Consider the following 13,561-nt stretch of genomic DNA (forward strand, 5'->3'; position numbering starts at 1 on the left):
ACCTATTGTAAGAATCCCAGTGTCTAATATGCCCAAAATGCTTCCTGAAGGAAACTGATGAACCTACAGCTACTTTAATCTGACCACTTGATCCTGGGCAATTTGCCACTATGGCTAAGATCACAAGTAAGCTCTTGGCTCAAGGGCAACCAATCCACTGGTTGGCCAAAATCCTATAATGTACCCTGGTATGAAAAGATGAACTGAACTAATCTAACTCTCCCTCTCTGGACTCCGAATTACCATTAGTTAGAGATAGGAGATTGAGGAGCTTGACAAGGCAAAGATGTAACGGAGCAATAAATATGAGTATGTAGGAACTATGAAGTATAGAAAAGATATACAGGGCAAAGTGCAGGAAAAAGGAACACGGTACCTAAGAGAAAATGGAGAGTCAATGAATCACATTAATAAGAGCACCCTGGAGTGAAGATCCACAAACTGCAGTTAAGGTCTCATTTGAGCTGTCTTGAATCCAATTCTCTTGAAGCTTTGTGCTTCTTGTTATTCTCTGTGTCAATTTACAATAATGCCAAATTGCTGAGGTGCCTTAAGGGAGTGTCTTTTTTCTTTACAACTCCCAAAACCTAACAAAAATGCCATTCTTAGTTTATATAATTGCTGTCACATCTAGAAGAGCCAGGGTATTTCATTTTCGTATTTTCTGCCAAATGATACATTGGCGATATTCTTCACATCCTAAGGTGATTGACCCTTGGAGCTTTGAACAATTATTAGGAAGCACAAAGGAGTGTTCTTTTTGTAGCCATTTGGTTCTCCTTTAAAGGTTGCCCTCCTGTGGCAAGCTAGAATACAGTTACAGTGTGAATGCAGCTTGCTTTATTTTTTTATTTTTTTTTTTTTATTTTTTTTTGAGACGGAGTTTCACTCTTGTTGCTCAGGCTGGAGTGCAATGGCGTGATCTCGGCTCACCACAACCTCCGCCTCCCAGGTTCAAGTGATTCTCCTGCCTCAGCCTCCCAAGTAGCTGGGATTACAGGCATGCGCCAACACACCCGGCTAATTTTTGTATTTTTAGTAGAGGTGGGGTTTCTTCATGTTGGTCAGGCTGTTCTTGAACTCCCGACCTCAAGTGAACGCCCGCCTCGGCCTCCCAAAGTGCTGGGATTACAGGTGTGAGCCACCGTGCCCGGCCACCTTGCTTTAAATAAGTTCAAAACTCTGGATTTACAGCAACAGATCATTCAGCCACTTTTAACAATTATTTATTTATATTACCACAAAAGTAGCATACTGTTAGAAATTCAAATACTGGCCAGGCGCAGTGGCTCATGCCTGTAATCCCAGCACGTTGGGAGGCTGAGGCGGGCAGATCATGAGGTCAGGTGATGGAGACCAGCCAGACCAACATGGTGAAACCCCGTCTCTACTAAAAATACAAAAATTAGCCAGGCATGGTGGCAGACATCTGTAATCCCAGCTACTCAGGAGGCCGAGGCAGGAACATCGCTTAAACCCGGGAGGCGGAGGTTGCAGTGAGCCGATATCGCGCCACTGCACTCCAGCCTGGGTGACAGAGTGAGACTCTGTCTCAAAAAAAAAAAAAAAGAAATTCAAATACCATGTATTTTGAATAGTGAGAATTTACGAACCACAAGAAAGCCACAAACCCAAAGTTAACCTGCAAAGTTTCAGTTAATACCATTGCCTTGGATAAACACAAAATATCTAAGGAAAAGGGCTTTCTGCTTCAAAGACTTGTTCACAGTCTTTCTCTTTTTCCTTCTCCATGAGAAGCTCACCCCTATGAGTCCACATAGCTGCCACCACCACAAAGGAAGCCAGCTATTTTAAAATGTATTCACTACTTTGCTTGAGGGGCAGTGGGGCATAACGGTTAAGACCACCAGCTTTATTTTAAGTATACTTTGGCAGTATCTACCAATATTTTAAACATACATACTTTAAGGCCCAATAATTCCAACATCTACAAATCTGTTCTACAGAAATACTAACAAAAGTGCACAAACATATATAAGGATGGTCACTGAAGCAATGTTGATAAGAGCAAAAAATCTGAAAGATCCCAAATGGTGTATAAGAAAAGTGGTTAAATAAATTATAGTACATCCATGCAATAGTATACTATGCAACTATTAAAGAAAGTAAGGAGTGTGTGTATCTAATGGGATGGAAATAGGCTTAATTTACATTGCTTAATTTTAGAAAGGCAAGTTGCAGAACAGTATATTGAATAATCCATTTTAAATATGTGTATGTGTATGTGTCATAAAAAAAAAAAGAAAGAAAAAGCAGCCAGGCACTGTGGCTCAAGCCTGTAATCCTAGCACTTTGGGAGGCTTAGTGGGGTGGATCACCAGGTCAGGAGTTCAAGACCAGCCTAGCCAAGATGGTGAAACCCCTCTCTACTAAAAATACAAAAATTAGCCGGGCGTGGTGGCAGGCGCCTGTAATTCCAGCTGCTAGGGAGGCTGAGGCGGGAGAATTGCTTGAACTCGGGAGGCAGAGGTTGCAATGAGCTGAGATCTCACCACTGCACTCCAGCCTGGACAAAGAGTGAGACTCCATCTCAAAAAAAAAAAGGTTGGAGGATTGCCCACCAAACCATTCATATTGATAAACTCTGGGAAGTGGAAAAGGGACTTTATACCTTGCTATATTGTTAAGTAATATAACAAAGGCATATCATATTTGTAATTTCTATTTATTTATTTATTTATTTTTTGAGATGGAGTCTCACTCCATCTACAGGTTGGAATGCAGTGGCACAGTCTCGGCTCATTGCAACCTCTGCCTCGCAGGTTCAAGAGATTCTCCTGCCTCAGCCGCCCGAGTAACTGGGACTACAGGCGTGCACCACCATACCCAGCTAATTTTTGTATTTTTAGTAGAGATGGGGTTTCACCATGTTGGCCAGGATGGTCTCGATCTCTTGACCTCGTGACTCACCCACCTTGGCCTCCCAAAGTTCTAGGATTACAGGCATGTGCCACTGCGCCCAACCTATTATTATTATTTTTTTTTCGAGATGAAATTTTGCTTTTTTTACCCAGGCTGGAGTGCAATGGTGCTATCTTGGCTCACCACAACCTCCGCCTCCCAGATTCAAGTGATTCTCCTGCCTCAGCCTCCCGAGTAGCTAGGATTACAGGCATGCACCACCACGTCCGGCTAATTTTGTATTTTTAGTAGAGACAGGGTTTCTCCGTGTTGGTCAGGCTGGTCTCGAACTCCTGACCTCAGGTGATCTGCACCCCCACCTCGGCCTCCCAAAGTGCTGGGATTACAGGCATGAGCCACTGCGCCTGACCTGTAATTTCTATTTAAATAAAACATTTTAATGGAGACCAAAAAAAAAAAGTAAGAAGAGGCTTCAGAATCAAACTCTGATTCAAATCCTAGTTCCATCAACTTTTTAGGGTTCAGTGGAATATTAAGATGAAAATTTCCTTTACCTTAACTTCTGATTGTCACTTCACAGCAAATGACTGAAATATCTGAGCTTTTCTCTTATACATTGTTTTTAAACACCAGAGACAACTCCCTCTTAAGAGGCTTGTGATTCATCTTCCATTTTTTGTAAAGTGAATCATTTCCCTAATTTTTCTACTTGCTAATAAGATAATAAATATAGCATATTCTGTCTCTTTCACAAATTCCACCCCCTTTTCTCCGTATCTGACTTCAAGAGTCCACAACCTGGGAGCTGTCCAGGTACCAATTAACATTTAAAAAGCCCTCAAGTTGTTCACACAAATAGTTCTATTATTGCTTTCCTTTACAGCCTTGGTCTGCTCAAAAACCCACATTCAAATTGGATCACATAAACTCCAGCCCTTAAGCACACAGGTATTGTAGGCTAGAGGCCGCTTTTGGCTACAAACCCCCTTATTCATTTAAAATAACTTCATTCACAAGGTTCATTGAACAGCTGGTTTGTGCCCATCACAGGCCCTGACAAAACACTTCGCCTAACTTGTCACTAATCCTTACAGCAACTCTGGTTGAGTGTTACTAGTATCATTTAACAGATAAGCAAACCAAGGCTCCAAAGGATAAAATGGCTTGACCAAGATCTCACAGCCAATGAGTTGGGGAGCCTGCTGGGAAATCTAGGATTCGGGGTAACTAAAGGTCACTACGGTTCTTTTTTAAAGAAAATTTTATTTTTATTTTATTATCTATTTAGAGACACGGTCTCACTGTGTCATCCAGGTGGGAGTACAGTGGCGGGATCTCGGCTCGCTGCAACCTCCGCCTCCCTGGTTCAAGCCATTCTCCCTCCACAGCCTCCGGAGTAGCTGGGCTTACAGGTGCCCGTTACCACGCCCAGCTAATTTTTGCATTTTTACAAAATGCACCATGTTGGCCAGGCTGGTCTCGAACTCCTGATCTCAGGTGATCCGCCCACTTCGGCCTCCCAAATGCTGGGATTACAGGCGTGAGCCACCGCGCCCCACCAGGAAACTTTTAATTAACTAGTTTTAAAAGCCAAACAGTAAAGAAAAACAGCATTCCCCTCCCCCATGCATCCCCTCTCTGGAATTTTAACTTTCCTGTGCAATCATGTGGTATTTTTTTCAGGTATTTCTGCTGGTTTCCCGCCGTCTTTCTAAATAACCGGTTTAACTGGTGTGTGGCACAGACTTAACTACGATGTAACTAAAACGCCACTCTACAGTTAACTCCCTCTATTCCTTAGATTTCATTCCCGGGGTCACCTCTTTGGCCTAGGTGCACACACCGCGGGCTCCGCTCTAGGTGGGGCACAGGCCTTCGCCCGCCGCATGCACCCTGGGCTGCGCAGCCCCAGCCAGCCCGACCCGGGCTCAGCGACCCCTGCCCCCGGGACCCCGCACCGGGGCTGAGCGCTCGCCTCCTGCCGGCCGCGGCTCCACGCCCTCGCCCCAGACCCTTTGTCAGAGAGCGAGGGTCGGGGAGCGAGAGCCAGGGTCCGAGGTGACCGTCGTAGTTGGGGCCGAGGTCCGTGTGGTAGGGGACTGGGACAGGAGTCGGAGTCGCAGGGCGAGGGCCCAGATCGGGGCTGGAAGCCACAGGCCTCTCACCTCGCTTGGCCGAGCGGCCGGGACTCCGGGCCCGCAGCGGATGGAAGCGGGCGCTGCCCTGCCCGGCGGCGGCCGGGGCCTTCTGGGGTTTTCCCGCGGGCGGCTCGGCAGGGCGGCAGCAGCTGCCGCGGAGAGGACGACCGCCACCGGTGCAACCAGGTCCCCGCGCCCCTGCCCGGCCTCTGGGGCGCCCAAGCGGGCCGTCCTCACCGCGGCAACTCCACGCCCGCCCCTCCAGCCCAACCTCACAGCCTTGTCCTGTCCCCAAGCAAGGAGTCGGCCTCCCTGTCCACAGGGAGGGAATCCGGCGCAGGTCGCAGCCGGCCTCTGGCTTTCGTGGGGAGGGCACCAAGGCTTCAGGTTTCCCAGCTCGCGCGTTACCGTTCAAAAGCCCCTCCTGGAGCTCTGAATTGAGGGGAGCACTCCATGCCCCTTCCTCCAAAGAGGGCGGGAGTCGCAACACTGAAGCCTTGCTCCAAACAAACCCCCCTACCAACCCTCTCTACTCCTCCCTCCTGACCCCCTTTCTCTGTCCATTATCCGTCTGAGGGGGTCCAGGACTTGAGCAGTTTCTGATTTCCTTTATCTTTATGGTGGGGGATCTGTTTCCCACTAAGTATGGTATCATCCTCTTTTTGGCCTCTCACCAACTCTTCCTGCCCCCTCCCTACACACATTCATCCCCCAACCTCCCCAAATTGCGGGTTAAACCGATTTTGAACTTACGTTATTATGAGTTTGAAAATACTTTTCCCCGCCGGGCGCTGTGGCTCATGCCGGTAATTCCAACACTTTGGGAGGCTGAGGCGGGCGTATCACCTGAGGTCGGGAGTTTGAGACCAGCCAGACCAACATGGAGAAATCCCATCTCTACTAAAAATACAAAATTAGCTGGACGTGGTGGCGCATGCCTGTAATCCCAGCTACTCAGGAAGGCTGAGGCAGGAGAATCGCTTGAACCCGGGAGACAGAGGTTGTGGTGAGTCGAGATCGCGCCAGTGCACTCCAGTCTGGGCAACAAGAGCGAAACTCGGTCTCAAAAAATAATAAAAATAAAGAAAATACTTTTCCCAGTTGGTTTGTGTAATATACTATGATTACATTTCCTTTTTTGTTGTTGTGGAGACGGAGACTCGCTTTGTTCCCCAGGCTGGAGTGCAGTGGCTGGATCTCGGCTCACCACCTCCCGGATTCAAACGATTCTCCTGCCTCAGCCTCCCAAGTAGCTGGGATTACAGGGGCCCAGCAGCATACTCGGCTAATTTTTGTATTTTTAGTAGAGATGGGTTTTCACCATGTTGGCCAGGCTGGTCTCAAACTCCTGACCTCAAGTGATCTGCCCGCCTCGGCCTCCCAAAGTGCTGGGATTACAGGTGTGAGCCATCGCCCCCAGCCATATTTCCTTTCTTATCAGACTTTTTTTTTTTTTTTTTTTCCTTGTGGTTAGTGATTGTCTCAATGGTTGGTTTGTTAAGGCTTCTATGTACCCATCATTAATTTCCACCCCCCACCCCACAAATGCTTTGCCAGAATTGCAAGGCTCCATTCATTCAAACTCATCAAATAATACACCTATTTTGTTTTTTCTTGGAAATATCCCTCCCATGCCAATCTTAACTGTTGCTCACTAGACGAACTGCACAGCTGTTCTGGGAATTCCCTTCTTCACCATCCTGGGAATTTTCTTTACTTCTTTGTGTGAGTCCCCTTTGTCCTGGATTCCATGTTTGTTTTTCTCCCTCACTTTGGTAGAATATGTCCTCCAGTAGCTTTCTGACAAAGGGTGTGGTGAAGGGGAAAATTTTTTGAGATGTTGCGTGTCTGAAAATATCTTTTTTTTTTTTTAAGGGACGAAGTATTGCTATGTAGCCCAGGCTGGAATGCAGTGGCTATTCACAGGCACCAGCATAGCCACTGCAGCCTCAAACTCCTGGCCTCAAGCCGTCCTCCTGTCTCAGCCTCCTGGGTGAAAGATATCTTTATTTGATCTCACTTGATTAATGTGATAATTTGTCTGGTTACATAATTCTAGGTTGGAATCCATTTTTCCTTAGAACTATGACTTGTCTTCTCATTTCTGTGTTATTGCTGAGAAATCTAAGGAAATCCTTACTTACAAAAGAACATAACTGTATACCTTTTTTGTTTGTTTGTTTGTTTTTTGAGATGGAGTCTCACTCAGTCACCCAGGCTGGAGTGCAGGGGCGCGATCTCAGCTCATTGCAACCTCTGCAGCCCGGGTTCAAGCGATTCTTCTGCCTCAGCCTCCTGAGTAGCTGGGATTACACACGCCTGCCATCACGCCCAGCTAACACAACTGTATACCTTTTGTATGACCCTAATTTTATTATTAATTCTGGAAACTCTGAGGATCTTCTATCTTTGATGTTTTGAAAATGCAAGTGACAGGCCAGGCGCAGTGGCTCGCGCCTGTAATCTCAGCACTTTGGGATGCCGAGGCAGGTGGATCACCTGAGGTCAGGAGTTTGAGACCAGCCTGGCCAACAAGGTGAAGCCCCATCTCTACTAAAACTACAAAAATTAGCTGGATGCGGCGGCAGGTGCCTGTAATCCCAGCTACTCGGGAGGCTGAGGCAGGAGAATCGCTTGAACCTGGGAAGAGGTGGTTGCGGTGAGCCAAGAGCATGCCATTGGACCCCAGCCTGGACGACAAAAGCAAAACTCCATCTCAAAAAAAAAAAAAAAAAAAGAAAAGAAAAAGAAAATGCAAGTGACATGCCATGCTTTGATGTGCATTTTCACTCATTGTGCTAGACAGAGAGCCCTTTCAATTTAGAAACTGTTGCCCTCGGTTCTGGAATTTTTTTTGCTTTATTTTTCTTGCATTACTCATATCTTCCACCTCCACACACTCATACCCCACTCCGCTCCACCCCATGCATCTTTGTTCTTTCTTTCTTAAATTCCTGTTACTTGTATATTGGAATCTCCAAGTAAGTCTAATCCTCTCAACTTTTCTCTCACACTTAACTTTCTTTTTTCCCCCACGGTCTGCAAATTTCCTCAACTCTATTTTCCAAACTTTTCATTGCCCTTTTATCAATGTTGCCTTCTAAACAATAGTGTGCTAGGCCGGGTGCTGTGGCTCATGCCTGTAATCCCAGCACTCTGGGAGGCTGAGGTGGGTGGATCAACTGAGGTCGGGAGTTCAAGACCAGCCTGACCAACATGGAGAAACTCCACCTCTGCTAAAGATACAAAAATTAGCCAGGCATGGTGGCCCATGCCTGTAATCCCGGCTACTCAGGAGGCTGAGGCAGGAGAATTGCTTGAACTCAGGAGGCCGAGGTTGCGGTGACTCGAGACTGTGCCATTGCACTCCAGCCTGGGCAACAAGAGTGAGACTCTGTCTCAAAAAAAAACCAAAAACCAAAAAACAAAAAACAGTGGTGTGCTACTCAATTTCTAACAACCAACTCTCAGAAGCAGGGGGAAGAAAGCCTTGATTTGTAGTGTTTGCCTATTTTGATAGTACAAATATTTCCATCATGGTTGCTTTCAAGCTACTAACATTATATCACTAAAGATGGAGTCAGGAAGAGATGCACAGTAGCATATCATAGCATTCCCACCATATAGATAGAACACACATAAATAATCTCAAGAGCATAGATAATAATAAAATGTAGAAAAATAATCTGGGGCCCGACGCAGTGGCTCACGTTTGTAATCCCAGCACTTTGGGAGGCCGAGGTGGGCGAATCACCTGAGGTCAGGAGTTCGAGACGAGCCTGGCCAACATGGTGAAACCCTGCCTCTACTAAAAATACAAAAATTAGCCAGGCATGGTGGCGGGTGCCTGTAATCCCAGCTACTCAGGAGGCTGAGGCAGGAGAATTGCTTGAACCTGGAGGCAGAGGTTGCAGTGAGCCAAGATCATGCCATTGCCCTCCAGTCTGGGCAACAACAGTGAAGCTCCGTCTGCAAAAATAATAATAATAATTTGGAAGTAATGAGTTTTGAGTATTTATTTTGGTTTTTAATATAACTGATTTAATTGTAACTTTACATAATAATTTAACAGTGACAGTGTTTTAACAACTGGCTTTTAAAATTTCTAAAAATTCAACAGTTGATTCTTACAACCTGGTATGAGCCAGCTCTTGTAAACTATTGCTTCAAAATAATCATGGTCTCTAATGTAATAAAGGTAAATCAGGGGTCGGGCACGGTGGCTCACACCGGTAATCCCAGCACTTTGGGAGGCCGAGGCAGGCAGATCACGAGGTCAGGAGTTCGAGACCAGCCTGGCCAACATGGTGAAACCCCGTCTCTACTAAAAATACAAAAATTAACTGGGCTTGGTGGTGCATGCCTGTAATCCCAGCTACTGGGGAGGCTGAGGCAGGAGAATGGCTTGAAGCCAGGAGGCAGAGGTTGCAGTGAGCCGAGATGGTGCCACTGCACTCCAGCCTGGGTGACAGAGCAAGACTCCGTCTCAAAAAAAAAAAGGTAAATCAGAATAATCTTCCAAATGCAGTTCTGATCATGTCACTCCCTTGAGTAAAGCTCTATATTGCTTCTGTGCTTACTGAAACCCTCAAGGCTCAATTCACATTCCACCTTTTTTTTTTTTTTTTTTTTTTTATTTGAGAAGGAGCCTTGCTCTATCACCGAGGCTGGAGTGCAGTGGCGCGATCTCGGCTCACTGCACCCTGCACCTCCCAAGTTCAAGCAATTCTCCTGTCTCAGCCTCCCCAGTAACTGGGACCACAGGTGCCCGCCACCACGCCTGGCTAATTTTTGTATATTTAGTAGAGATGGGGTTTCACCATATCAGTCAGGCTGGTCTCGAACTCCTGACCTCAGGTGATCCACCCGCCTCAGCCTCCCAAAGTGCTGGGATTACAGGCGTAAGCCACCGCACCCGGCCCACATTCCACCTTTCTTATTAGTTACTCAAACAAATATTGATTAGGTATCTGCTATGGGCACGGTCTTAAGCAAGCTTAAGCAAGCTGCTGAGGATACAAGGATGAGTAATATACATTTCTTTTCTTTTTTTCTTTTTATTTTTTTATTTTTTTGAGACGGAGTCTCACTCTGTCACCCAGGCTGCAGTGCAGTGGCGTGGTCTCGGCTCACTGCAACCTCTGCCTCCCAGGTTCAAGCAGGTCTTCTGCCTCAGTCTCCTGAGTAGCTGGGATTACAGGCATGTGCCACCACGCCCAGCTAATTTTTGTATTTTTAGTAGAAACGGGGTTATACCATGTTGGCCAGGCTGGTCTCAAACTCCTGACCTTGTGATCTGCCCGCCTTGGCCTCCCAAAGTGCTGGGATTATAGGTGTGAGCCACCGCGACCGGCCATTTCTTTTCTTTAAGGCACTCCATGATGTAGTAGGAGAAACTTAAGTATATATTACTCAATGTGATAAGAACATGAAAAATATATGCACAAACTATTATAGGAATGACTAGCAAATGACTAATTCAGTCTGGGGGAATCTGCCATGGAAAAACCTAGCATGTCTTCCCTTGTCTTTTAGGTCTCCTAGTGGGTTGGGGTTTTTATCTTATTTTATTTTATTTTTTTGAGATGGAGTTTTGCTCTTGTTGCCCAGGCTGGAGTGTAATGGCATGATATCGGCTCACTGCAATGTCTGCCTCCTTGGTTCAAGCGTTTCTCCTGCCTCAGTCTCCCGAGTAGCTGGGATTACAGGCATGCGCCACCATGCCTGGCTAATTTTGTATTTTTAGTAGAGATGGAGTTTTTCCATGTTGGTCAGGCTGGTCTTGAACTCCCGACCTCAGGTGATCTGCCTGCCTGGGCCTCGCAAAGTGCTGGGATTACAGGCATGAGCCACCACACCCAGCTGGAGTTTTTATTTTATTAAGCGTTATATACTTAATACAAGCCATAAAGGTAAAGTATAGTGTTCATTTCAAAGACTGCTAGTCGATTTTTTTTTAATCTACAAGATATGTCCTCAGAAAAAACTGCTAGTTTATTCAGTTTAGTGCCAACTTTTTTTTTTTTTTTTGAAACGGAATCTTGCCCAGTGGCCAGGCTGGAGTGCAGTGGTGGGATCTTGGCTCACTACAACCTCTGCCTCCTGGGTTCAAAAAAAAGGTAAATCAGAATAATCTTCCAAATGCAGTTCTGATCATGTCACTCCCTTGAGTAAAGCTCTATATTGCGGGCAGATCGCAAGGTCAGGAGATCGAGACCATCCTGGCTAACACAGTGAAAACCCGTCTCTACTAAAAAAATACAAAAAATTAGCCGGGCATGGTGGCAGGCGCCTATAGTTCCAGCTACTCGGGAGGCTGAGGCAGGAGAATGGCGTGAACCCAGGAGGCGGAGCTTGCAGTGAGCCGAGATTGCGCCATTGCACTCCAGCCTGGGTGACAGAGTGAGACTCCGCCTTAGAAAAAAAAGAAAATGTAGAAAATGTTCACGGAATAATGCTGAATGATCAGAGAGCAGTATGGCCAGGAATGGAAGGAGTTAAGGTAGGAAGCACTCATTCTGCAATGCCTTTATCTGAGAAATTAGGGATATTTATTTACTTGCAAAAGGCTCCATCTTAGTGTTCTTTGAAGGAGGAGTCAGTAGCTTAGGCTCTTGAAAAGGTCTTTAAGACTCAGATTTCCAAACTATTTATTATAAGCCATGCTTCTCTCTGAAAAACTCTTGATGTAACAAGAGTTTCAGAATATAACAAGTTCCCCAATTCTGTTTGGGAGTTTTATGGTGAACTCAATGTCTATTCATGACATATTCTGTTCTCCCTTCTTCCGCTCAGACACGTTGGTAAAATTTAAAGATTTCTAAGTAATGAAAAGTAGCTTCTAATGAGGAAAAGGGAACTGTGCTTTTTTTTTTCTCTTGGTCTCACTCTGTTACCCAGACTGAAACACAGTAGTGCAATCATGGCTCACTGCAGCCTCAAACTCCTGGGCTCAAATGAGTTTCTTACCTTTTTTTTTTTTTTTCCTGAGATGGAGTGTTGCTTTGTTGCTCAAGCTGGAGTGCAGTGGGGCAACCTCGGCTCACTGCAACTTCCGCCTCCCAGGTTCAAGCAATTTTCCTGCCTCAGTCTCCAAAGTAGTTGGGATTACAGGCATGCGCCACCACGCCCAGCTAATTTTTGTATTTTTAGTAGAGACAGGGTTTCACCATGTTGAAGGCTGGTCTCGAACTCCTGACCTCAGGTGATCCGGCCATCTCGGCCTCCCAGAGTACTAAGATTACAGGCATGAGCCATTGCACCCGGTCCCTCATCTCCTCTTTCAACAACATTTGCTGGGAAGGGCAATGAGCAGTGCCCCCTTTCCTTTTTTTTTTTTGTTTTAATTTTATTTATTTATTTGTTTTTGAGATAAGGTCTTGCTCCATCATCTAGGCTGGAGTGCAGTTGAGTGATAAAGGCTCACTGCAGCCTTGACTTCCTGGGCTCCAGATATTCTCCCACCTCAGCCTCCCAAGTAGCTGAGACTACAGACATTGAGCCACTGCACCCAGCCTTCTTTTATTTTTTGTAGAAATGTGTGTCTCGCAGCTGGGTACAGTGGCTCATGCCTGTAATTCCAGCATTTTGGGAGGCCAAGGCGGGCAGATCACCTGAGGTCAGGAGTTTGAGACCAGCCTGACCAACATGGAGAAACCCCTCTCTACTAAAAATAAAAATTAGCCGGGCGTGGTGGCATGCACCTGTAATCTCAGCTACTCGGGAGGCTGAGGCAGGAGAGTCACTTGAACTCGGGAGGCAGAGGTTGCAGTGAGCCGAGACTGCGCCATTGCACTCCAGCCTGGACAACAAGAATGAAACTCAGTCTCAAAAAAAAAAAGAGCCGGGTAAGGTGGCTCACGCCTGTAATCCCAGCACTTTGGGAGGCCGAAGCGGGCAGATCACGAGGTCAGGAGATCGAGACCATCCTGGCTAACACGGTGAAACTCCATCTCTACTAAAAATACAAAAAATTAGCCAGGCATGGTGGCGGGTGCCTGTAGTCCCAGCTACTCGGGAGGCTGAGGCAGGAGAGTCACTTGAACCCGGGAGGCAGAGGTTACAGTGAGCCGAGACTGCGCCATCACACCCCAGCCTGGACAACAAGAGTGAAACTCAGTCTCAAAAAAAAAAAAAGAGCCGGGTGAGGTGGCTCACGCCTGTAATCCCAGCACTTTAGGAGGCCGAAGCGGGCGGATTACGAGGTCAGGAGATCGAGACCATCCTGGCTAACACGGTGAAACTCCGTCTCTACTAAAAATACAAAAAATTAGCTGGGCGTGGTGGCAGTCGCCTGTAGTCCCAGCTACTCAGGAGGCTGAGGCAAGAGAATGGTGTGAACCTTGGAGGCGGAGCTGGCAGTGAGCCGAGATCATGCCACTGCACTCTAGCCTGGGCGACAGAGCGAGACGCTGTTTCAAAAAAAAAAAAAAAAGAAAAGAAAAGAAAGAAAGAAAGAAATGAGGGTCCTGCTGTGTTGTCCAGGCTGGTCTCAAACTCCTGGTTTCAAGTGATCCTCCCGACTTGGCCTCCCATAGGCA

General features: G+C 46.5%; 2 annotated features.

Annotated features, from left to right (window-relative positions):
• Positions 4,594-5,251: an enhancer, noted in NCBI's record as "H3K27ac-H3K4me1 hESC enhancer chr17:30243727-30244384 (GRCh37/hg19 assembly coordinates)". NCBI's record gives its function as "activates a minimal SCP1, AML or CMV promoter by ChIP-STARR-seq in naive H9 embryonic stem cells {active_cell/tissue: H9 hESC(naive)}" and the evidence as "EXISTENCE:reporter gene assay evidence [ECO:0000049][PMID:30033119]".
• Positions 5,252-5,907: an enhancer, noted in NCBI's record as "H3K27ac-H3K4me1 hESC enhancer chr17:30244385-30245040 (GRCh37/hg19 assembly coordinates)". NCBI's record gives its function as "activates a minimal SCP1, AML or CMV promoter by ChIP-STARR-seq in naive H9 embryonic stem cells {active_cell/tissue: H9 hESC(naive)}" and the evidence as "EXISTENCE:reporter gene assay evidence [ECO:0000049][PMID:30033119]".

Source organism: Homo sapiens, chromosome 17 (genome assembly GCF_000001405.40).
Source record: "Homo sapiens chromosome 17, GRCh38.p14 Primary Assembly".
Taxonomy (NCBI): Eukaryota; Metazoa; Chordata; class Mammalia; order Primates; family Hominidae; genus Homo; species Homo sapiens.